Here is a 24,811-nt window from a genome sequence, read left to right as displayed (position 1 = left end):
TCAAAATTCAGCTCAGATGTCACTTCTGATAAGCATCCCAAAGTCAGAAACAGAGAAAAATGCAGACTCAGAGAGAGAGAGAGTGAAAAGTAGAAGTATTTAGAGAAAGAGAGAGAGAGAGAGCTGGAGGCAAGGGGGGCAGGGACAGAGAGGAAGGCAGAACAGGACACAGAGGCTGCCCAGGCCAACAAGGTCAGTTTGGGACTCAAAGCTACAATGACAAGGCCCTGAGTCCCCTCACCTCCCAGAAGCTCCTACCTGGAGCTAAGGAGGGCACTGGAGGCAAAGGCCAAGTCAAGTCCTACGTGACTGGGGAATAAACCAGCCAGGAGATACCGAGATACAGGAGTCATTTATTGAAAGCTCAGGGTTTGCTACTGAGGCCCCAGAGCTCTCTCTGAGGCAGTTCTATGATTAGCCAGGCAGTTCCCACCCCAAACTTGGAGTAGTGCTTCAGGGCCAGAGGGCATTTTTACTGTCACCAACATCAGCTAGAGACTGGGAGGGAAATTGAGGCAGAGTAGACAGGTGGTCTCTAGTAGTCAACAGGGAAGGCTGGTGGCCATGTCTCAGCCTCAGGATGCCACGGTCAGCACAACAGCATTCTGTAAGGAACAACCGCTCTTGGTTACACCCCTGAGTCTCTGCAATGCCCCATCCCTGCAGCCATCTTTACTCCCCTGCCCTGGGATTGGCCCTGTACCTGGAACACAGCAGGCACTCATTAAATGAATAAATGAATGATGAAAAAATGACATCCAGTGTGGGACAGGCTCTGACTTGAGGACTTAATAGACTCAAGTTCAACTGCCATTTCTGCTATTAATTTACTGGTGAACTTGGGCCAGAAATCTGACCTACTTCAGCCTTGGTCCTCATCTGAGAAATGGGTACAGAACTCTCTGCTCTGCCCACCTCCTAGAGCTATTCCACCACCCAAAGTTGGGCTGGTTTGAAAAGGATTGTGAGGCCATATCAATATTCCACAAGAAAAAGGGTCATGATCCATTGGTCATATCTGCTGCAGACACAAGATAAGGGAGAGATGGCATATGTATTTGTTGCTGTTGGACCAGGGGAACTGTGATTCTGTGAGTGAATCTTAGGTTCCATTCTAGAGGCCAGACATGTCTCTGAATCCAATGGGAAAGAACTCCGTGATTGATTGATGATGTCTGCCATGGGCAAGAAATGGAGGAGTAGTAGCACACATGTCATATATTTGCCATTCCTAAGTTAGGCAATTTGTAACTCACTGAGAAATTTAGAAAATGGATCAGGGACAGACAAGAGGATGAAGCAAAGCATTCCCCTCATTAGTTTCAAGCAGAGCTTTCCAGAGACAAGCTTAAGGCCCACCTGGGCCGTATCTGCAGAGAAGGCTCACCTCTACGATCTCCAGAACTGAATTGGAAAAATTGATATTAAGAACCTTAGGCAGGGGAATTCCAACATCCAGGGCCACTGTGAAAAGAGAATCGTTGAAAACAAAGGTACATTGGTGGGGAGCTCTTGGACCCTAGGAACCCTCGGACCCTGCTGACCCTATTCCATCACTTTCACTAGCCAGCCAGTTCTCTTCTCACAGAATCAGCTTCTTATTGGCAAACTCCTACTCATCCTCCTACACCCAAACAAAAATGTCCCTATTCTGTATTGTGTCAGTGGTGCCCCCGTGTCAAGCCTCCTAAAGGCTTCATCAATCCCTTACACACTCTGGGTCATCTATATTCTAATCATTTGTTTATATGATTATTTCCTACTAGACTGTGGGAGCTTAAGGCAGGACTGAGGTCAGATCAGCGCTTGAAGTCCATAGGCTGGCAAGATGTAGGTGCTAATCAATGTCATTTAAATGGAAAAATTGGTGCCTCAGTTTCTGCATCTTGCAAATGAGGATCGACCTCTCTCTCTGGCCTCAGTGTCCCCATCAGAACCATAAAGAGAGGCAACAGACTAGACAATACCAAATTCAGACACTCCATGTGTCCAAGAGAGCAAAACCTGCCATACCGTTAAGCTTTGGTGCATACACTGCCCCGACCACATGGCTGAGCCATTCTTCTAAACGCGATCCCTGCAACAGAACACACAGGGTGGTGGGGGTGGTGCTCTGGGGTGTGGCTTTACAGGCAGCAGCATCCCGTTCCCAGGGAGAGAAACCCAGGGGCCCAGCTGCCTCAGCCTCCCCCAAGCCTGAGGACACAGCTCCTGGCAGGCACTGGGCACTTGGGGGTGGCCTGGGCTGTCCACCAGTGACCTCGAAAGAGATTCTGTGATTTAGGCTGGCTTTACCCCAGGCCCCATGAGCTTGGAAGAAGTGCCTTCCTATAAGACTCTGTTGGGGCTGGAGGTGGGCAGTGCCTAAGAAAGAGGGAAGGAAATGTGCCCAGCTCCAGTCTATGGGGTCTGACCTTAGATTCCTGTCAGTTTAGGGACTCTGAGAATGTTCTAGAACCTGAGCCCATGGTGAGATTCCAGAACCTCAGAACTCTGTAAGAAGCAGGAACCTCGGGGCTCTGTGAGCTCTGAAATGGAACTTGCTGAGTTCGGGAAATTTATTACTTGGGAGAAGTTCCAGAATGATGGACCCTTGTGAGGTTCTAGATGTCCACAACTTTGTGAGGTTCCAAGACCGTGGAAGATCATGAGATTCACTTTCCTAAGATGATCACTGTTTCTCTCTCTCTCTCCCCACTGCCCACACCCCCTGCTCTCTCTCACGCACACCCGCCCTGATATTTGCCCACTCTGGCTTAATTGGGGAGGATCCCAGTCCTGAGGTCAGCTCAGTCATATGGCCCATGACTCATGGCCACCCCCTTTCCATGCCACACCTGAAGACTCTCATCACTGCCAAGCCCCTCACCCTCCCAGGAACTTACGTCAAAGGCATGGGTAAAGGAGGAGGCCACCTTGACACTGAGCCTGGTGGAGAGAAGAGAGATGCTGGGGCCCCCGCTACCCCCAACCACCCCTGTCCCACCCCCAGCCTGCCCCACCATAGCTCTCATCATCAGGAAACAGGATTACCAGCCCAACACTCTGCCTCTATCCAGCCTTGACTCAGAGACTCAGTTTTCCTACCTGTAAAATGGACCCAAAGGGACCTAACCTCCCTTCTGAGGCATCATGACCACCACCTCTGGCCTTGGCGCCTTTGTCTGACTCCCAGCTATTTGACCCTGGGCAGGTGGCTGAACCATTCAGAGGAGTGACCTCCCCCAGACTGAGCACTGGACACAGAGTGCCTTGCATACAGCAGGTGCTCACTCAAGGCAGCAACTCACTGATGGATCATATCTGGCCCAAGTGCAGATTCAGGGCCAGAGCCTGGGCACGCATCTCTACCTCCTAAAAGACTGAGGCGTGAACTGCCATCAGGAAGTGGAGGTGCACCCAGGCAGCAGGCGAGGCCCTCCATCAAAGTCGGCAATGGGGCAACAATGGAAGGCAGAGGCCAGCAGTGGCCTGAGGAGCCTGTGGGGGTGCTAAGACGGAGTCAGAGGAGCACTGGGTGCCTGTGGCGTAGGACGTCAGGTCTCAGCAATCTCCAGGAAAGTCCCTACTGCCAGGGGAGGGACAGACAGGCCGGGGCCCTGCCATGGTGACAGCACTGAGGCCCAGACTGCAGACCTGCTCTAGGGACGGCCTGCCGTGTGAGCCTGGGCCAGCACGGCGTTTTGCAAACTGTAAAGTACTGTGCATGTAGATGGTGCTTTGCAAACTGTAAAGTACTGTGCGTGTAGATGAAGGACTGTCACCAACACCATCATTCTGGTCATTATGATTATCTTGATGGACGCCTAGTTACCACAGGGGTGAGGAGAATAGAGAAGTAACAAGTAACAAGTCCACATAAATAACAACACATTTCCTGACACTCAAGGCCGGTTGTCTCTTGGTTAGCCTCTGGGGCTGATAACTCAGGAGTTTGGACTCCACATCCTGGCGGCAGGTTTATCTTTCAGAGGCAGGTTTTCAGCAGCAAAAGGGTGCCGTGGAAGAAGCCCACTCTTGAGCCTGCTGCTCTGAGCCCCCGATTCCTTGTCTATAACATGGACTAACACTGTCTCCTCCCTGGCGGGTCCTGAAGGCAAGGAGGATGCTGGAAAAACACCTGGAATTGCGCTGATGCTCAAGAAACGGGAGGCGGATCCTGTCAGCCCCTAATTCTTGTTCCTAAAGACAAGAACAAGATCCTGTCCCCAGGATCCCAAGTTACCGTTCCAGGGACAGGGAGATGTGCAGCTTGGTAGCCGAGGGAGCCAGCTGGGCACGCACAGTCATGACCTGCATGGGCAAAGCAGGCAGAAGTCACCCCCAATCGGCAGAAGGAGCTTGAGGACGGGTCTGCCTCCATCCATCTGTTCCGTCCACTAACCCTTACTGAGGCCCTACTGTGTGTCAGGGTCTGTGCTGAGCCCTGAGAAGGTAATTTGAAGGTTTTGCTGTTTTCTTGAACAGCAGAGAACCACAGTATTAAAATTGAGGGCAATTGGTAATGTAGGAGAGGAAGCTCTGGGGCTGCAGGAGCTTGGAGAGCCCCTCAAGCATGCCTGCTGTACGGTGAGGGAAGGCCTTTCCAGTGAGGTAACAGTTGAATCTTGAAAGATGAGGAGTTAGTGGAAGGAAGGGGAAAATGGTACTCCAGGTGGTGGACCTAGCACAGACAAGCCAGGGAGGGAGGACCTGGTAGACCTGAGTAGCTGAGGCTTAGGGGACAAGGACGGGCAAGGCAAGGATGGGGCAGAAGGACAATGAATGTCAGGCTCAGGTGTTTGGCCATGGGGAGCCAAGGTGGAGGATAGGGGGAGGGGCCTGCCTCGGTCCAGATGTGTGCAGAGGTGCGATGGAGGAAGCTGACTGGAGCGGGAGGGTCAGAGGAAGCTGGAGGGTCGTCAGGGAGATAGCTGGGCAGAGAGGCTGGGGAGATGGGGAGCAACGTCTGAGATCCCCAAGAAGCAGTGTGGGCAGCCCAAACAGGCCCAGGCAGACATGACAGGAGGGAGCAGGCAGGAACTGAAGCAGGGGCTTGGGTCTCAGCCCAGATGATGACAGTGGTTGTGGGGCGGGGGGCTTCCTGTGCTGGACTATGTGGGGCTCCCACCCTGAAATCAGGGGGACGGTACCTCCACAGTCCTGGAGACAGTCACCCCCATTTGGAACCCCAATGCCGGGCCCCCAGCCACCCCTTGACCACTCACGGAGTTCAGCTCAAAGAGGGATTCAGGGGTCCCCTTAGGGACATAGAACAGCACATGGATGTTGGCTGGGAGGGAGACCAAGGCCTTCTTGTTGTGGAGTGTGACCGTGGGAGCTTCCCTCACCCGCAGGAACAGTAGGAGTTGCTGGTGCAGGGGCAGCTTCCCCAGGGCCTGGAGAAATGCAGGGGCATAACTTAGATGCCCCAGGACTACAATCAGTCAGTCAGTCAGCAAACACTCACTAAGCACCTACCAGGCACTGGGCAACGTGCTGGGCAACGAGGTTACAGCCTGAAAGACACAGGCCTGGGCTCAGCCCCCATGAGGCTGACACTCAGGTGTGGAGACACCGACCTGCAGGACTGCCAAATCAGACTTCCTGTCTCAAGCAGAGTCAGAATCCTCCCCGAGGCCATAGGCTCTGTGTCCTCCATCCCCTGCCCGCCTCTCCACTTCACCTGCTCTCCTCCCGCTGCTGCCCTGCGTTCTCCCTCCAGACTCACTGGCCACGTGGCTGCTCCTCCAGCTGCCAGGGATGCTCCCAGCAGGCGCCAGGGCCTTTGCACTTGCTGCTCCCTCTGCCTGGAAATATCTTCCCAGAGAACTGCAAAGTTCCCTCACTCACCTCCTTCACTCAAATGTTACCTCCTCACTGAGGCCTTGCAAAGCACCATGTCTAAAAGCACCAGCCAGCACTCCTAAGCCAGCTTCGCCACTCCATGCTCTTCCACCTTCTGACACTGTCTCTGTTTCTGTTTATTTGTGCAATGTCTGTCACCTCCAGCAGAATGGCAACCCCTTGAGTGCAGAAGCTTTTCTCTCCTTTCACCTTTTGCCCTTTGTGCAGCCCCAGCTGCAGGTATGCCCTTGTTCCATTGCAGGGCCTGTTACACAGTAGGTGCTCAGTGGATATACGCTGACTGCCTAAATGAGGCACACAATCAGGAAATTCTGAGTCTCATAATTGCAACGTCATGAGACTAAGGAAATTACAGAACCACAGAAGCTTGGAACACATAAGTATGTCCCTTGCCTGCTGGAATTTGAGTCTAGGTTTCCTCAAGCCCAGAATCCCTAAGGGGCAGGATCATCAGGACCAGGAATCACCTGATTCCACCCTCACATGCCACAGAATCTGAAGCCACATGGGGCTCTAAAGCTGCGAGGCCAGCAAATGGAGACCAAAGGATTCAGCCTCCAGAGACAAGCCCAGCTTCCCCATGCTGGAGGGGCAGGCCCAGCTTGCTGCTTCTGGATACCCCTGCCCCAGCCAACTCCACTTGCCCCATGTCCCTCTCCACTCCTACTCTCTGGAGGTTCTTCTGAATGTCTGACTCCAATCGCATCCCTTCCATGAGGCTCCTATGCCCTTTAGCCAAGGGACTCTGGAAAGCTGAGGCCCCGACCTCATTCATCCAGACTGCTTTGAATCACCAACTTCAAGAACTCACAGAGTTTGTCCTCTGTGCCCCCAAACCCAGCTTTCATTTCCATCCTCTCTGGTGAGAGCCCAGGCCCCTAGGCCTCTTTCCAACCTCTTTCAGAACCTGCTGTTACATAAGGACCTTGTAGTAGACATTTTAACTTCAGTACGAATTCCAGTTCTCACAGCTGGAAAGCAGCTGGTCCAGCCCCAGTTGAAGGATGGGAAAGCTGAGGCCTGGCCTGGAAGTCATGTACTTATGTCCACTAGTGAGACCTACCTGACACTCTCCCTTTTCTTTCCTCTCCAAGACAAGTGCCCTAGTCTTTTCTCTGGGGACATTGAAGACTAAGGTCAGGATGAAGTAAGCCAGTTGGTAGAAGGGAGCTCAGTAACCTGAAAAGACTTTTGTCCTTGTGTGCTACAGAAACAATTTCCATAGGATAAATGCCCAGTTGATTTCTGGGGCAGTCAAGCCCTAATCCTTTACTCTCTAAGCAAAATCTGCTATCAGGAAAGGATGTCGTGTTAGTCATTCACACTTTAGTGTGAATTTGGACTCAACTGTTCAATTGCAGTTGCCTGGAGAGCTGTATTGAGAAAGATTCTGGACTCCATTCATGGTCATCAGGAAAGAGCTACAATGATCAAAACCCATGAGAGCGTCACTCACCTCAGGGAGCAAAGCTGCCAGGTCTGTAGTTGTCAGTGGGACATCGCTGGGAACCTGGACCCCCAATGGGAGAGAGGGTTGGTGAGCACAGAGACAGAACAGGAATCCCTCAGCACACTCAGAGCAGTTTCGTTCACCACTCTTCCCCCTACCCTGCCAATTTCATACATATATCACTACAAACACTCAAGTTTGTTCTATCAGCTAGCAATTACTGAGCACTTACTGCATGCCAGACAGATGCTAGGGGCTCTGCACGCCTTTGCTCATTTCACCTTTACAACAGCTCAAAGAGGTGGGTGCTACCATTGCCCTCATTTAACAGATGGAGACACTGAGGCTGTTGCCAAGGGTCACACAATTGGTAAGTGGTGACACCAGGATTTGAACCTGGGCAGGCTAACTTCAAAACCTTTTACTCTGCCAAGGCTCACGATCTAAAGGCCCAGGGATCTGACCCCAGATCTTTTTGCCTTTTACCCAAATAGTATTTTCAAAAACTATGAATTTATTTCTAGTATTTATAAATCAGGAAGTCACATGTAAATTTTTCAGTTTCTGGCTAAAGAGTTGGAAAATCTGGTCACACTGAGCCTGCACCCCCTCCCCTTGTGGCAGCTGAGTGGCAACTGCCTGAGAAATGGGGCACAGGGTCTCCAGTTCACTATAGTCCCATCAGGCTGCTAACTGATGGCCCAGCCTCCGGGGGCCCTGATGTTTGAGACACCCCCCGCCCACCGAACTACATATGCCCACTTCTCAGAACAGCCCTGTTCACACAGGATAAGCATACATGCAGCACCAGGACGAGGCCTCTGACATTCCTCTCTCTTGCCACGATGCTCATATGCAAACACCCAATGCTCCTATACACACACCCACATCCGCAGGCCGCTCAGACATGCACGTTCTTACACGCAGAGTCTCTGCCTGGCTATGACTACCCCCATCCCCCAGCTGGAAGACACCCTCTCCCCAGCTCAGGGTCCTGTTCCAGCCTCCCAGAGGCCTTCAGAGTGCTGTCTGGACCCCACTTGCAAGAAGTGAGTGACCAACCCCTGTTTCCTTGGGCCTGAGCTACAGGTGGGGAGCCCAGGCTGAGACCAAAATAAATGTCTCTGGGTGGGGCTTCTGGGGTCTGGGCTTTCCAGGATGTCAGAGGGGCCAGAATGGACAGAATGGAAGTTGGGAGGTACTAGAAGCTGCAGAACAAATGTTTGGGTAACTCTTGGTACAATCCAACCCTAGTTTTCTTCCTTCCTTCCTTCCTTCCTTCTTTCCTTCCTTCCTTCCTTCTTTTCTCTCTCTTTCTTTCTTTTTCTTTTCTTTCTCTCCTTCCTTCCTTCCTTCCTTCTTTCTCTTTTTCTGAGACAAGGTCTCATTCTGTGGCCCACACTGGAGTGCAGTGGCGTAATCACAGCTCACTTCAGCCTTGACCTCCCAGGCTCACATGATCCTTCCACCTCAGCCTCCCAAGTAACTGGGACCACAGGCATGCACCACCATGCCTGGCTAATATTTGTATTTTTTGTAGAGATGGGGTGTCTCCTGGGCTCAAGAGATCCTCCCACATCAGCCTCCCAAAGTGCTGGGATTACAGGCATGAGCCACCCTGCCTAGTTTTCTTTTCTCCCACTCAAATCTGCTCTTGAGAAAGCAGTGGAAATTTTAGTGGTTCACACTTTAGTGCTTAGACTCTAGAAAGGCTCATCTGATACAGGTATGGAAAGTGGGCTTCATTCCACATGCCAGTCCTGACCAATTGAAAGTGACCTCCTGGAGTGCCAAGTTGAGAAGGATTCAGAAGTCCCAGTCAGGTTTAACCAGGTAGAGGACCACGATCGATTAGCAATGTCTCCCCTAAGTATAGGAGTGGAGAACAGCAGTGTACACACTCTAAACTTGTTCAACTCCCTTTTATTATAGAGAGGAGGGCTCAGCAAGGCTGATCAGGGCCTAGGTCAACACTAGTAATGCCAAGGCACAGCAGGGCAAGGAGCCCCCATCCCCATCCCCCGGGCACCACACTCACCAGCTCAGGGGTGATGTCCATGTCGAGGGCGCCGTTGGTCTGCAGGAGTCCAAACGTGGTGTTGAAGAGGTACAGTGGCACCATCACCTGGGATGTGTGGTCCTTCTTGGGGGGCACCTTGGCTGGGGCACGGGACTTGGGGAAGTCAATGATATCACCAGCTACACTCTTCACGATAGGCTGCAGGGGCAGGAAACAGGGCCGAGGAGGGTCTTAAGGTGCTCACCCACCTGCCTTGATCCGGCATCCCCTATCTAGCCACCCCCAGCAGGAGGAGAGGCCCCTCTGGTTACTCACGTTGATGTCCAGTTCTATGTACTGGTTGGAGATGAGAGGCAATGTGGCCAGAGAGAATTCCACGGACCCAAGAGCCCCAAGGGACACCAGGCCTGCGTGGGAAAGTGGGGGCGAGAACGACCCTATAAGCCCAGTTCCCAATCATAATAGCCCCTATTTCCATTTATTGAGTGTCTGCTGAATGCCTAGCACTCTACTAAGCATTCACTTGGCTGCTACTGTCATCCCCATTTTACAGATGTGGAAATTGAGGCTTAGACAGGGGAAGTCACCAGGCCAAGGCCACACAGTCACGGTGTTCAAAACCAGGATTCCTGTTTTCCAGAGTTGATGCCACTAACACACTGCTACCCTGCCTCTCTTACATAACACCACCCATAGAGACATACCGGCCCCAAGTTTTCTATTCTTTTCCTGGTTGTGCCTTTTTATATTTTCCCAAACCCATTTTGTGAACACAGAAGGCACTTGTGTCTCCATAAGGCACAGAGAGACTGGGGTCTGCTGTGGCTGCGGGGCCTTGGGTTCCTTACTTGAGCTCTCTGGGCCTCGGTCATCTAGTCTGACCAGGTAATCATTATATCTTCCCCCTGTTTCTGACAGTGCCAAGCGCACACTAGGTGCTCAGTAAGTGTTGGTCTGCAGCACCCAACATAGAGAGAACTGATGGTTCTGGGTCTGCATGCCCTGCTAGGCGGCCTCAGCCCAGGCCTCCTCCATGAGGCTCCTCAAAGGGGCAGCCTGTCAGTGTGAGGAGGAACTAAAGGACCCTGAGATCCTGCCGCTTCTGGCTCCCCTTCGTACCCTACCCCATTGGGGTCATACAGAGACGGGTAGAAGGGGCAAAGAGGAGGGCATTGAGCCCTGACTTACCCAGCACAGCCCCCAGGAGCTCATTCACCACACCCAGCACACTGTCCACCACGGGGCACAGCTGTGTCAGGGAGACACATGTTACAGGGCAAAGAAGAGCTCACTGCGAGGACAGCTGCATGTTCTTTAAATGCTTTGCTATCTGCTGCTATGTGGTGCTGGGGACCAAGGCAAGGCGGAAGGCAGAGACAGACAGAAGACACACAGGTGGGAGGCAGGGAAGGGGCTGGGGGCTTGAGGTGTCAGAGGGTTGGGTGGCCCCCAAGCTGTCTTCCCTTGGTTACAAGAGCCCCATTAGAAAACCCCTAAAGGTGGCTGGGGGACCACGGGAGACACATTTCAGGGGCTGGTTTGGGCATGCGGACAAGGCCTTCACCTGAGGAGGCAAAAGCGGCTTTGGTTCCCCATAAAGTCACAGGCCATCCCCTGCCATTCTACGTGGGCACTGGGAAGCCTAGGATCAAGACCCCACAGAGGGGCACCTCCTCTCCTCCACCCAGAGAGTCAGGCCTGGATCTGGAGTGTCCATTCTGCATATCACCACGTGTTCATTCCTAACCCCTGTGCTAGGAGAATAGGGAGCAAGTGGTTCAACTTTCAGAATCCAAGTCTGGGAATCACAGAACCTGAGTCCCATAGCCCACTGGAGTGGGAGCCTCAGAGAGGATGCAGTCCAGCCCCTTCATCCTCCAGCTGAGGCCAGAGAAGAAGGTGGCCTGTCCAAGGTCACAGCTGTATTCAGAGAGACAAAAGAGGGCTGTCACATGTCAAGTGGGGGCCCCAAACTCCAGGATTTCTGGGGTCAGGCAAGTCACAGAAATGAGAGGAGACCAGAGGGGCTCTGCTGGGGATGGAGAAAGCAAACCCTCTGAGCACCAGATGGGAGGTACCAGAGGTACTTCCCACTTACAGGAGGGAGGTATCAGGCAGCCAGGATGGCTGATTGCAAAACAGAAGCCAGAAATCTGGACTGTTACGAGAAATCTTCAATGCTGAATGTTGGCAATGAATGCTCGTTTTCAAAACCTCTTTGTATCACACAAAACCTAGCTGCTGGCCAATTGCCCCAGAGACTAAGTTAGGGGCTGCCGTTGAAATGCACCTTCATGCCCTGGTGGAAACCTGCCTGACATGGTCTTGCTTAGGGGCCCCTCCTCCTGCTAAGCTTCTTTTCCAAACTGGCTTCCTCAAGCCCAGGGCAGTTTTGCCAACCCTAGGCTCCCATTCTTCTGCTGCCCCCAGCAGCGTTCGCAAGAATGCACAGGGAGAGCCAGCTAGGCCGTGGGGTCAGGAGGCCTGACTGCCCTTTGCTGTCTATGTGGCCCTCCCCTCTTCCTCGGTGATATGGGGTTTGGGCCAGACCAGCTCTCTCGAGTGCAGAAGCCAGGATGTTCTGGGGCAGGCCATGGACAGGCATCCTTTAATCTTAATATGTTTAATTGTGATGTATGAATAAAGGTACATGTGTTTTTCTAGACATGATTGCCAAGCACAGGGCTCAGTTTAAAATCACCAAGTGATCCAATTTTCATTTCACGCTAATTTAAAGAAAAACATAAAGTTGGTACTAATACAAATGGCAGAAACAGAGCAGGGGTTCTTACCCTTCTTAGGAGCCTACGATTTGGGAGCAGGGGACCCAGGCCGAAAGGATCGTGTCATCCACCCCCAGACTAGCAGGCGCGCCAGGAAGGCCGGTCAGCAGGCCCGGATGGGATTACCAGGTGGGTGTGGAAGGGAAGTACAGCCTAATCCTGCCTGGCGCCAAACTTCACCCAAAACCAGAGGGGGAAAGAGGCCCAGTCCTGGGAGAGGGCATGCTGGCACACGGCCCGCACACTCACCAGTCCCGGAAGCACCTTGAAGAGCATCTGTTCCACGACCCCAAAGAGTGGTGTGGGCAGCAGCCTGAGCAGAGGGAGACACATGTGGGTGCGGCTGCCAGGTGGACGGTTCAACCCAGATGACAGGGTCGGGCGGACACTAGGGGCTCTGGATTTCTCCTCTCCCTTCTCTTGGGGGTGGTGTTGACTGCGGCTTTGGAGACCTGAGTTAAATCCTGGCTCCTCCTCCCGAGGGGACCCAGGGGATGGCTTCATTTTCCCCAACTGTACAATGCCCACCTTAGAGAGCTGCTGCTGCCCGGGTTACATGGGAGTGTGTATGTGGCTGGTGTAAAATCTGTGCTTGACAAATGTCTGTCTCCTTTGTCCCTCTAACAGTTGTAGACAAGAGACATTTAGGCCTAGGACAATGGTTGTTATTGAGCCCCCAGAGTGGGGGTTCAACAAGTATTTGTTAGATGAATGAATGAATGAATGAATGAATGAATGAATGATGGCCTGAGGATAAGTGCATGTAGACAGGCTCAGGTCTGTTTGGAGACCATGGGGTGCAGGATGGCAACCACAGAGCCCCAAACACAGGACACCAACACCATCCTGGGAACCACTGGAATTTAAGGAGCCCAAAGCCCTTGCCTGGAATCCCTTTCTTAGGGCCCTCGTGGAGACAGGAGCAACCCAGTTACCCTGTTCCTGGGAGCTAACACAGAACTGCCTGATGATCCCCCACTGCTCAGAGTTACCCAACAAAGATGGAGCAGGGGCCGGGATTGGGATTGGGCCTGGAAGGTGGACACAGAACGGGGAGACACAAGTGGGAGGCAGCTGTGGGCTGGCTCAGAGTGCTGGCAGAGGCCTTGGACCCAGCCAGAGCGCAGCCCCTCTCCATCCCTGCCGGATCTGTGCGTGTGATCCTAGGCAAGGAGACCTCTGGGCCTCCATGGTCCCATGAAAGTGATGATTGAGAGGTCAGGCACGGTGGCTCACACCTGTAATCCCAGCACTTTGTGAGGCCAAGGAGGGCAGATCACTTGAGGTCAGGAGTTCGAGACCAGCCTGGCCAACATGGTGAAACCCCGTCTCTATTAAAAATACAAAAATTAGCATGGTGGTGGGCGCCCGTAATCCCAGCTACTTGGGAGGCTGAGGCAGAAGAATTGCATGAAGCCGGGAGGCAGAGGTTGCAGTGAGCCGAGATGGCACCACTGCACTCCAGCCCGGGTGAAAGAGTGAGACTCTGCCTCAGGAAAAAAAAGAAAAAGAAAAAGAAAAAAGTGATGATTCAACAAGGTGTAGGGAGGGCCACCTGGACAGATCCTGGGAAGAGACTGAAGTCACAGCCCCTTCCGAATCATCAAATCCAGCTCCACATATACAGATGGGGACATGGGGGCCCAGAATGGGGAGATAGGGAGTGGGTCTCCCTGAGGTTACACAGCAAGTCAGAGGCAGAGTTGGGTCTCATGTGCTGAGAGCAGGGGCTGAAATCCCGCAAATGGAGGGATCCCAGCTGACCCTGGGCCCGCTCTGGCGGAGAGGGGACGGCAGGATCCCGTGAACCAGACTAGAGGAATTGCCCAGGAGTGGGTGGCACAAGCTATGGATTAAGCCGGAGTCCCTGTCAGTGGTGGGACTCAATCTGTCGGTCTGTGAAGTGGGTTGAAACCGGCGGGACAAGCAGGGGTAGGACGAGTTCAGGCCCCCGCAGCTGGCAGCTCCAGGGAGACCTGGGAGATGCCCAGATGGGTGCGAGATGATCCTGAGCGGGTCAGGGTTGCAGGCTGGAACCTGCAGACTCACCCTGAGAACAGGCTGATGTGGCCCAGGAGCGTGCTGCAGCGCTTGAGGATAAGGATGGGTGTGCCCCTTGAGCTCACGGCCAGCGCCACCCGCGATGTCACGTTCACCTCCGCAGCCAGCTGCAGAAGGCCACCAAGGGGGCTGCAAGAAAGGACACTGGGGGTGTGGCCAGGCAGCCAGCTCCCACCCTTGGCCCCGCCCACCAGGGTGGCCCTGCCAGTGGCCTAGGCTCTGTGCCCCCTTCTCAGCCTCTGCCTCCCTGCCCCATTTTGCACTTCCCTGCACCCTCTTCCCTGACCCTCTCAGGTGAGCCTGAGCGGTGGGGTCCGGGTCTGGAGGAAGAGCGAAATGGAAGTCCCTGGGGAAGGGCAATGGCATAGGATCCAGGGGGGAAACAGTAGGATTGGGAGTCCCTTGGGGAGGAAATAGGGTGAAAGGAAATGGGGGATACAGAGGGGTGGGAGTGGGGGGACAGCAGAGTAGGAGTCTCCAACAGGTCAGGGGGTGGGATAGGAAGCAGGAGGGTAGAGGTCCCCAGGACACACTCACCCAGAGCAATGCATGCCCACTTTGGTGTGCAGGCTCAGCTGCACCCCAAATCCCGGCAGCAGCTTCAGCAACACCTTTGGCAGCGTGAGCTCCTCAATCTTCAGACTAGGATGGGAGTCAGGGAGAGGGTTGCTCACTCCCAGACATCCCAGCCCAGGCGGCGCCCAGAGTGGCTCTTGGTGGTGTCCCCTATCTCACCTCAAACCCACAGAGCCAGCTGCGAGCCCTTGGCCCATCACTTCATCTCTCTGGGCCTAGTTTCCTTATCTGTAAAGTGGGGCGATACTAGTTCCTACCTCACAGGAGTGTTGCAAAGACAAGTGAGATAATTCGAGTGCAGAACCTGGTACGGTGTGTGCTCAACAAATGTCCTATCATCATCACCGCTAGAGGCTCAAGGAATTAAAGTTTTTCCTCACTCCATCCCCACAGTCTCAGCCCTGGTTTGGTTTCTGGCCTTGACATTGCGCCCTGCTATACCCCTGCACACTCACACAAATGCAACCCGAGTGGGTTCTCAAACACGACTCCTCACAAGTCATTACTCTCTGTCCTCTGGGTCTTTGCCCAGGCCATTTCCTCTGTCTGGAACACACTTCCCTTGACCCTTCTTCCATTCTGCATCCCTCTTCAGCTTGCTGACTCCTCCCAGTTCACGTGCACTCCTCCAGGAAGCCTTCCATCCTGGTTTTCTGCCTCGGGCAGATGCCCTCTGAGCGCCTATCCCACCCTGCCTGGGCTGCCTCCATCACTGCCCTGAGCCCATGGGATCTTCGCTGTCAGACTCCACCACCTATGAGGAGCTCTTCAAGGCACGAACAATGCCAAGCTCATGTCTGAGACTCCAGCCTCACCAAGAAAGCGGATTTCACAGGGGAGGGAGAGTAAATATTGCATTAATAATAATAATAATATCTATCCAACACTTACTCTCTGCCCGGCTCTATTTCAGCTGCTTGGCACAGATTAACTCACTGTCCTGGCAACAACCCCATGAGTAGCTGCTAATACTGCAGCCAGTAAAAGGCAGATGGTTCAAACTCCAGCTCTGCCACTAACTGACTGGATGGGCTTGGGCTAGTCACAGTGCTGCTGTGCCTCGGTTTCCCCATCTGTAAAATAGGGACATTGACCACACCTACCACAGAATGACACACAGCGAACCTCGAGCAACATCAGCATTTACCAGCCTGCTTTCCGGACATTATGTTCCGTTTAGGGAAGTGAACACCCATCAGCCCTTCTTTCCGCTCCCAGTACCCCATTGCCTCCTGTCCAGTGACTCTTCTCCATACACTGGGCTTCAGCCTTGCCTGGGCCCTGTTGTTTGACCTTCCCCTAATTCACCCACCAGCCATAGACTGGTTTCCACTGGACTTGACCAGGCAGTATGGGCTGTGATGAAACACACAGACACATTCCCATCTCCTCCCCTAGCTGGGTGAGCTTGGGCAGGTCACTTCACTGCCAGGAGCCTCTATCTCCTCACCTGTTAAATGCAGTTCATAATAGTCCTACCTCTGGGCTCAGTGAGATAATTCATTTACAATGCACAGTGCTAGACACACAGAAAACCCTGAATAGGTGCTCATTGAGTTAGTGCATATTAGCTATAATGTGATGCTCTTCATTCATTCATTCAAAAATACTTTTTTTTTTTGAATGAAAAAAAAAAAGCTGTGTTCTGCAATCCTATGTTTAGGAAAACATTGAGACCACAGCAGGAGTGTTCTGGAATCCTATATGAGCAACAAACTTTCAGACCCTAACTGCAGTGTTCTTTGGTCCTGTGTGAGGGACAAACACTCATACCCTAGTAGCGGTGTTCTGGAATCCTATGTGAGGGACAAACATTCAGACCACAGCAGGAGTGTTCTGGAATCCTATTTGAGGGACAAACATTCAGAACCTGGTAACAGTGTTCTGGAATCCTGTGTGAGGGGCCAACATTCAGACAATCGTAGCAGTCTTCTGGAATCCTATGTGAGGGACAAACATTCAGACCCCAGCTCACGCCTGTAATCCCAGCACTTCGGGAGGCCGAGGCAGGCAGATCTCCTGAGATCAGGAGTTCAAGACCACCCTGACCAACATGATGTAACTTCTTCTCTACTAAAACTACAAAAATTAGCCCGTCGTGGTGGTGGGCGCCTGTAATCCCAGCTACTCGGGAGGCTGAGGCAGGAGAATCGCTTGAACCCGGGAAGCGGAGGTTGCAGTGAGCCGAGATCATGCCACTGCACTCCAGCCTGGGCAACAAAGCAAGACTGTGTCTCAAAAAAAAAGGGAAAAAAAAGCTTTTTGAGCATACACTGTGTCCCTATTTATGATCCCGGGGACACAACAGTGAATAAGCCAGACAAAAATCCTACCCCTCCTGGGGTTTATAATCTAGCAAAGGAGACATAAAATAAACCTGTAAAATGTATGGTGGGGATAAGAAAGGGCTAATCAGCCCACACCTCTTTTGAGCGGACACCTGGAGGAGGTGAAAAAGGGAACCATGCTGATAGCTAGATTAGCCCAGAGAGACTAAGCAACTTCCCCAAGGTCAAACAGTGAGTAACTAGTGTTGACCCCAGAGCTGGAACCCTCAACCACAGTGGCATTCTGCTGTTCTTGTCCTGCCAGGCATGCAGTAGAGTCATCATTTTTAGACCCGGATCACAACCCTCCCACACAACCTTCACTGCCTATTGGACAAATTACAAAGAGACAATCTCTCCTCAATTCCTGGAAGCAAAGCCAAGTCTTCCTGTAGGGCATGCAGCAGGTGGGACTCACCCAGAGAGCTCCTCGACAACGCCAAAAACCCCTCCGTGGCCCAGCAAGCCGCCTCCTCCAAGCAGCCCTCCTGAGCCCAAGAGGCCCCGGTTCACAGCTGTGACCGATCCCAGCACATTCTGCAGAATGGGCTCCCCAACCAGTGAGTTCTGGATGGCTGCAGAGAGAGTGGAAGTAGGAAGGTACTAGAAACTCCAACCTCACCCCCAGGACCATGGCAGCTGCCTCCTTCCTCTGAGATTGAGTAGGCTTCTTTTTAAAAATGGAATTAACCCAGAGGTTACACTCAAATGGTGGAACCCACTAAGCCATAACAGCCTCTTACTCCCACCGCAGGGCCTGTGGCCACCCTCCCTGCCTGGCATGTGGGAGGTACCCAGTAAGTGTTTGGAGAATGAATGAGCAAATCTCATAACAATCCCTTCATTTTACCAGTGGGAAAACTGAGGCTCAGAGAGGGGCAGAGACGTGTCCAAAGTCACACAGCAAATTGGGTTGGGGTCAGTAGTGTAACTTGGCTCCTGATCCTGGACTGCCCTACAGCACTGAAAGGGAGGGCAAAGAAGGGGGAGCTTGTAGCCACCAGGGCTCAATCAAGTTGGAGGAGATGGTCTCTGCTTCTCTCCTGGGCACTCCAGGCCTGACTCTGTGCAGACTGTGGGAAGGGCAGGATGGAGGAATGGCCCTGTAGAGTAGAGGCAGGCCAGGGGGCCTCTCTGAAGCATTTCCTGCTCATGACCAATCTACTCTATCCCTGAGACTGTCACCACAGGCCACCGGGCTCTGTAGTACCAAATGCCAAGTACAGTTCCCTTACCCTAGTGATGTGAGGCAGAGACACTGGCCCAGCTAGCACCCTCCCCTCGACCTCTTCAACCTCACTCTGTCCCTGTCCCTGAGCCACACACAGTCCCCAAACAGCCTCAGCCCATATCACCCAGTCCACCTCCCGTAAGAGGGAATTCATCGCCCATTCAAGCCTGCAAGGGAAACTTTCACTCCTGCACAGCTACTCCCAGGAGAATGTGCTCTCTAAGCAGCTGAGAATCACAACCTGCTCTTATCTGCTCTTAAAGCAGATGCTCTAAGCATATAGATTGAGTCGTTGACATTGCAGCAGCCCCCTCACAGACTGCCCACCTGGGGCTCACCTTTGCCGAGTTCATCCTTGTCAATCCGAGCGAGCGTGCCCACCGTCTCTAGCAGCTCCTGGCATGGAGTCGCCAGGCCCCAGAGCAGAAGCAGGGACCACAGGGCCAGCATGACTGGCTGCATGCCTATAAGGAGCAGAAGGAGGAACTCTGAGACCCTTCTCCTGCTCAAGCCTTTCCCCTCTCTGTTCCCATTATCAGCCTTCCCCCTTCCTGCCCACCTGGCACAGCCCAAATTGAGCTTCACTCCCAGGAAAGCCTTCTCCTCCCAAATGTAAGCAGAGCTAACACGCAGGTGGCACGGTGCAGCTGCCAATGCACTCAAGTCTCCAAGGCACTTTCCAAGCCTCTCCCTCATTGGGTTCCATTTCTCAGCTGGGAAAACTGAGACCGAAAGGGGTAGGGGACTAGACCAAGGCCACAGAACTAATCAGAGACAGTCAGAATTCAAGCCTGAGTCCATCTGACATAAAAATCTTCATCCTCAGAGGCCCAGTGAGCCTGGCCGGGTGTCTGGAGTGACAGCTGCAGACAGAGGGGCTTCCCCCTCCAGGACAGCAGGATGAGAGCTTTGTTTCCAGCAGCTGCTTCCCACTGGCTCATGAGGCTGTTTCAGAAGGTCTAGCTGACTGGGGACACCCAACACTTAGACTTAACATGTCTTATCTTTCTCCTTCCCCCACCTCCACCCCAAATCTTGTTGAAAAAGGGAATGGGGTGGCAGGTGGGGGCATGGCTAATCTGCTAAGTTCACAGAGTGGGATTTTTCTTTAAGCAGTTCCGTATTTGCCCACCCAATCACATATCCATCTATGCCCACCCATCACTCCTGCTTAAACCCTTCAGTGGCTCCCCGCTGCCCTGGGTTGAAACCCAGGCTTCTTGCCATTACCCACAAAATCCCTGCCTGCCTTTTTGACCTCCTTGAGCTTAAACATGCCAGGCCCCTTCCCACCCCAGGGCCTTTGCACATGCGGTTCCTTGTTAGGAAGGCTCCTCCCTGCTTCTTTGCATGGCTGACTCCTTATCATTGAGATTCCGGATAAACATTGCCTCCCTGGAGAGGCCTCCGTCCTTCACTTTGTCTAAAGAAATCCGTCTGTCACTAAACATCACGCAGAATATTTACTTTAAGGTGCTGATCTCCATTTGCAATTATGCATCTGTTTGTGTCCTTATTTCTCTTCCCTGTAAACTCCATGAAGGCAGGGACCATGTCTAAGGCCTCTGTGCGTGGTTGTGTGTCAGAAGGGGTCCCTGCTGAGGGGGCAGGGGATAGAAATTCAGCAGCATGTCACTGGCCAGGAGAAAAATGGGCACTCCTGGAACTCTCTCCATAGGATCATCCTATGGACAGGGATCCCCTGCCCACCCCTCCGGCTGTGAATATATACAAGTCTTTGCCTCTCTCTGGGCCCCAGATCTGTAACATGGTTTTTCTCTTCATCCACCCTCTTGGTACCCCCAGTCTCCTCCTAGGGTGAGTTCTTTCCGTGCCCATCATTCATATGGGAGGGCAGAAGGCAGTGGGGTCAACGGCTGGGCGTCAGGACAAGAGCAGGGCTGCCTCAGGCTGTCTTACCCTTGCTCCTGCAGCTCCACAAGGGGTAGGTGGGGGCTCCCGGCCTCCTGTCGGTTCCTCCACCCACGCGAGCTGAGGGGTGGCCCTTATATGCCCACGCGGCTCTGAGGACACAAAGGGGCCACGGCCGCCAGAATCCCGTCAATATGTCATGTCAGAAGCAAATTGCGGTTTTCCCCGAGGGCCTGGGCTAAGCCTTCCTCCTTGGAGGCGAGTAAGGGGACTGGGGTCGGTGCCCAGGAGTGGGAGTGAAGGCGTGGGGGCTGCACAGGCAGCCACCTCCCTCAGAGCCAGGGGTGAGGTGTGGGGCCCTGCCACCTACCCATTCAGCCACCTATTGGGCTCCCTCCAAGGCTCCCCAAGAGCCATTCCAATGGCACAGAATCTACCCTGCCTACCCCACCCCTTCCCCAGCGAAGGCCTACGGAGGGAAAGAAGGGACTTAAAGCTGCTGGGTCTTCTACCTTCCGCCACCCTCCCCCCGCACCAGGCCTCACATGGAGAGGGCTATGGGCCTGGAGACAGGGACTCTGGGCACACTTGGGGGAGGGGCATCAACTCCACCCCCACCTCCCAAGGCTCAGTATCCCCAGAGTTCCAGAGCTTTGTCCCCTTTCCGAGGCTGGTGCAGATGACAGCGACGAGAAATGCGTCCATTCATTCACTCCACTGCAGGCATTTGTGAGGCACCCACTGTCTGCTAGATGCTGGGGAAATCGCTGTAAATAAAAGAGACAATCTCCCCTGCCCTGAAGGAGCCGACTAGTGGAAATGCAATGCAATTTAAAACTTTCTAGTAGCCACATTTTTTGAAAGGCAAAAAGAAACAGGTGAAATTAATTATAATAGTCTAGTTTATTTACCCCCACCAAATCCAAAATATTCTCATTTAACATATAACCAACAGAAAATTATGAATGGGGTACTTTACTTTCTTTTTCTCATACTAAGTTTTCAAAATCTGCTTACAGCACACCAAGATTTGGACTTGTCGCACTTCAGGCAATCGCCTTGTATGGCTATTGGCTGTCATATTGGAAAGCACAGCTCTGAAAGGGACAAATAAGCACATAATACAGTAAGTTGGGGCTGGGCGCGGTGGCTCACGCCTGTAAACCCAGCACTTTGGGAGGCCGAGGCAGGCAGATCACAAGGTCAGGAGTTCAAGACCAACCTGACCAACATGGTGAAACTCCGTCTCTACTAAAAATACAAAAATTAGCTGGGTGTGGTGGCAGGAGCCTGTAGTCCCAGCTATTTGGGAGGCTGAGAGAGGAGAATGGCGTGAACCCAGGAGGCGGAGCTTGCAGTGAGCTGAGATCACACTCCAGCCTGGGTGACAGTGAGGGACTCTGCCTCAAAAAAAATAAAAAAAAAATTATATATATATATATATATATATATATATATATATATACACACACACACACACACAAATTAGCCAGGCTTGGTGGCGCATGCTTGTAATCCCAGCTACTTGGGAAGCTGAGGCAGGAAAATCACTTGAACCTGGGAGATGAAGGTTGCAACGAGCCAAAATTGCCTCACTGCACTCCAGCCTGGGCGACAGAGTGAGACTCCATCTCAAAAAAAATACAGTAAGTCGGAAGCTAACAACAAAAATAAAGCAGGGAAGGGGCTCAGGAGTGTGGGGAGTGGGTGCCATTTTCAATAGCGTGGTCAGGGAAGGCCTCATATTGAAGCAGGGGTGACTTTTGACCAGAAGGAGAAGAGGGAAGGAGTCAGATGGCTGTCTGGGAAGAGCCTGCTGACCAGAGGGACCCCCACACAAAGGCCTAGGGTGGTGTTCCAGGAACAGCAGGGGGGCCATGTGATTGGAGGGGAGTGAGAGATAGGTGGTAAACAATGTGTGATGAAGCCCTGGAAGCTACTGTATGGATTTACAGACTTTGGCTTTCATTGGCAATTCCTCTGAAGGCACCAGCTCAGGCATCCCTTCCTCCAGGAAGCCTTCATGAGCCCCAAGCTGCATGAGGTATCACCTCTGAGCTCCCACAGTCCCCTGGGATTTCCTCTCTCAGAATCTGTGACATGCCAAGCTGTCACTGTGTCTGTGGCTCTGTGAGTCTGTGGGTCTGTCTCCTGCGTGGGGCCCTGAACCTCTGCCTGCTAAGATGGGGAAGAAGGATGGCATTTGCCTTGTTTACCTCAATCATCTCTAAAGCCCTCACCCTACAATGTTCATTCTGATGACTTTAGGCCCTGGACCAGGTTACTCAACCACACCACACTTTTTTAAAAGATAAACTTTTTACTAAAATCTAAACCATGTACACAAAAAGGGGCACAGATCACAAGTATACAGTGTGATGAATTTTTACAAATGGAGCCCTCTCAAAGCCCTCTTTGTGTCCCCTCCAAGTCACTGCCCTCCTGGTGGTGACCACTGTCCTGACCGCTAACTCAGTGCTGAGTCCAGCATGCTCCTGGGGGTCACTAAGTGCAACCGCTGTGTGCTTTATGTGCGTGGCTTCCCTGCTCCCATTGTGTGAGGCAGTGACTGGGTCTTCTTTGCTGTGTACTACTCAATTATGCGAATCCCTACAGTTTGCTTATCCATTTTCCTGTCCAGTGGTGCCTGGGCTTTCCAGGTGTTGGCTATTATGAATGAAGCTACTATGAACACTCTTGTTTGTGGACATTTTTTTTTCTTTGAGACAGAGTCTTGCTCTGTCACCCAGGCTGGAGTGCAGTGGTGTGATCTCAGCTCACTGCAACCTCTGCCTCCTGGGCTCAAGCAATTGTCCTGACTGAGCCTCCTGAGTAGCTGGGATTACAGGCACCTGCCACCACACCTGGCTAATTTTTGTATTTTTCATAGAGACGGAGTTTCACTATGTTGGCCAGGCTGGTCTCGAACTCGTGACCTCAAGTGATCCTCCCACCTCAGCCTCCCAAAGTGCTGGGAATACAGGCATGAGCCACCACCCAGCTTGGGCCTATGTTTTTATTCTTCATTTCTTTTGGGTAAATAACAAGGAGCTGAATTGCTGGAGCACAGCATGCATGCGCATGTTTAGCCATACTCTCTATGGCTATGGTTCCCCTGAGCATTATGCCATTGCACGTGGTCAATGCTGCTACTCCACAGCCTCATCTGTGCTGGGTATCCCCAGTGTTTTTAAGGCATTTGTTTGAAGGAAGAGGAAAGAAAACTAACACTAGTATTTATTCGGCACATACCGTGTACAAGGCACCTGCTGTATGTGAGCACATCTAGTCACCACAAAGACCCAGTGAGATCAGTGCTGTTATTATTTCCTCTTCTTACACTCAAGAAGCCAAGGCTCAGCAAGGGTAAGCAGCTTGCCGGATGTCACACAGGAGTCCAGCCAGACCGTCTAACACTCATTGTCTTAACCACTGCCCAGCCTAGCCTCTTGGAAGAGAGGAAAATGCTACCTAGTTGTTTCTGGCCTGCTTCGTCTCTCCTCCTCCTTCCCGATCCCCACCCAACAGGGGACTCTGACACACCCATAAGCTCCCCAGGCGTCCCCATATCCCCTCATGCACCAAAGCCAGGTCAGGGATTGGGCCTGCCCACGGGAAGGGATTCATTAAAATACATATCTCTTGGCCTCACCTTTGGCAACACTGATTCCACTGACAAGCACCTAGGGGGACGTTTAACAAGCCCCCAAGGCAATATGATGTGCAGCCCTTTTGATATCCCTGGTGAGGGTGATGGGAAGCCAAGGAAGGGATTAGAGCAGGGGAGGGACTTGATGAGGAGAAATACCCCTGGGCATTAGTTCCTAGAGTAAAGGCTCTGGAGCCAAAATTTCTGGGTCCACATTCTGGCTCTGTCACTCACAATTGAGTGACTTAACTCACAGAGCCACAGTTCTCCCATCTGCAAAATGGGCTCATATTAAAGGTGGCCCTCCTCACCTAATTGGTATGGCTGTGAGGACAGGTATCCTAGAAATGAAATTTAAGGCATCAAGGGAGGGGGGCCAAGGGTGCAGATGGTGGTGAGATCCCTGGGAGGCCTCCCCATGCTACTCGAGCTGAGAGTGGGCTGAGAAGGGAGAAGGCAAGGTAAGTGGGTACTGGTATGAACACAGGTGTGGGGAACATCGTGTGGCTTCATTTTCCCAGGGTGAGGCTGTCTGACAGGTCCCGGGGGGTCAATAGCTGTGGGCCCAGAATCGAAGACCTCCCTCTGCTCTTTTCTGACTCTGTAGCCTTGAGCCTCACTTTCTTGAAAGGAGAACACTGCATTCCACTGCTGAGTGTGGTGTGAAGGAGTGAGGAAGAGACTTGAACTCAGGAAGATAGGGTTCAAGTCCAGCTCCACATGTGCCACGTGCCCTTGGGCGGGCCACTTCATCTTTCTGGGCCTCTACTTCCTTATCTGGGATTGGAGGATTCTGGGAGGTGAGCAGTGCCCAGCAGACCTCCTATCACTGCCTCCCCAGGAAGTGGGGTCATGGAGTAGGGATCCCTTGCCAGTCCAGCCCACATTTTCTGCTCAGGGTGAATCTGGAGGAACTGACCACTCAAAGACTGTTGACATCAGATTAGAGGTCAGAGCATCCAACCCCTTCCTTACTGTAAAGATGAGTAAACTGA

At 52.6% G+C, this 24,811-nt stretch overlaps 1 protein-coding gene across 2 annotated transcripts, besides 2 other annotated features; it reads right to left on the bottom strand.

Moving 5' to 3' along the window:
* Positions 1–333: 333 nt before the first annotated feature.
* On the bottom strand, positions 334–20,278 carry BPIFB3 (BPI fold containing family B member 3). Of its 2 annotated transcripts, NM_001376932.3 has the most exons (16): positions 20,216–20,278; positions 18,634–18,759; positions 17,483–17,639; positions 14,699–14,803; positions 14,150–14,290; positions 12,350–12,413; positions 10,506–10,566; positions 9,633–9,724; positions 9,336–9,515; positions 7,304–7,357; positions 5,208–5,378; positions 4,226–4,293; positions 2,886–2,928; positions 2,014–2,077; positions 1,388–1,464; positions 334–605 (listed from the first exon to the last, which is right to left on the bottom strand). In NM_001376932.3, exons 2-16 carry the CDS (start codon positions 18,743–18,745, stop codon positions 576–578), a joined length of 1,419 nt encoding a protein of 472 aa, NP_001363861.2. In that variant the 5' UTR covers positions 18,746–18,759; positions 20,216–20,278; the 3' UTR covers positions 334–575. The 2 variants fall into 2 exon arrangements, with proteins under 2 accessions (NP_001363861.2, NP_872599.2); NM_182658.5 differs by lacking the exon at positions 20,216–20,278 and having other exon boundaries at positions 18,634–18,850.
* Positions 19,924–20,457: an enhancer, noted in NCBI's record as "H3K27ac-H3K4me1 hESC enhancer chr20:31641530-31642063 (GRCh37/hg19 assembly coordinates)". NCBI's record gives its function as "activates a minimal SCP1, AML or CMV promoter by ChIP-STARR-seq in primed H9 embryonic stem cells {active_cell/tissue: H9 hESC(primed)}" and the evidence as "EXISTENCE:reporter gene assay evidence [ECO:0000049][PMID:30033119]".
* Positions 20,458–20,992: an enhancer, noted in NCBI's record as "H3K27ac-H3K4me1 hESC enhancer chr20:31640995-31641529 (GRCh37/hg19 assembly coordinates)". NCBI's record gives its function as "activates a minimal SCP1, AML or CMV promoter by ChIP-STARR-seq in primed H9 embryonic stem cells {active_cell/tissue: H9 hESC(primed)}" and the evidence as "EXISTENCE:reporter gene assay evidence [ECO:0000049][PMID:30033119]".

This window comes from Homo sapiens, chromosome 20, assembly GCF_000001405.40.
Source record: "Homo sapiens chromosome 20, GRCh38.p14 Primary Assembly".
NCBI classification, from domain to species: Eukaryota; Metazoa; Chordata; class Mammalia; order Primates; family Hominidae; genus Homo; species Homo sapiens.
Note: the sequence above shows the minus strand (reverse complement) of the source record. Positions and strands in the feature narration are given on the sequence as shown.

Coding starts and splice junctions, on each gene's coding strand:
- BPIFB3 (NM_001376932.3), bottom strand. CDS start 18,745: ATGCTGGCCCTGTGGTCCCTGCTTCTGCTCTGGGGCCTGGCGACTCCA. Junction 9,725..10,505: donor GCTCCTGGGGGCTGTGCTGG/GTAAGTCAGGGC, acceptor TTTCCCACGCAG/GCCTGGTGTCCCTTGGGGCT. Junction 5,379..7,303: donor TGGCAGCTTTGCTCCCTGAG/GTGAGTGACGCT, acceptor GCATTTCTCCAG/GCCCTGGGGAAGCTGCCCCT.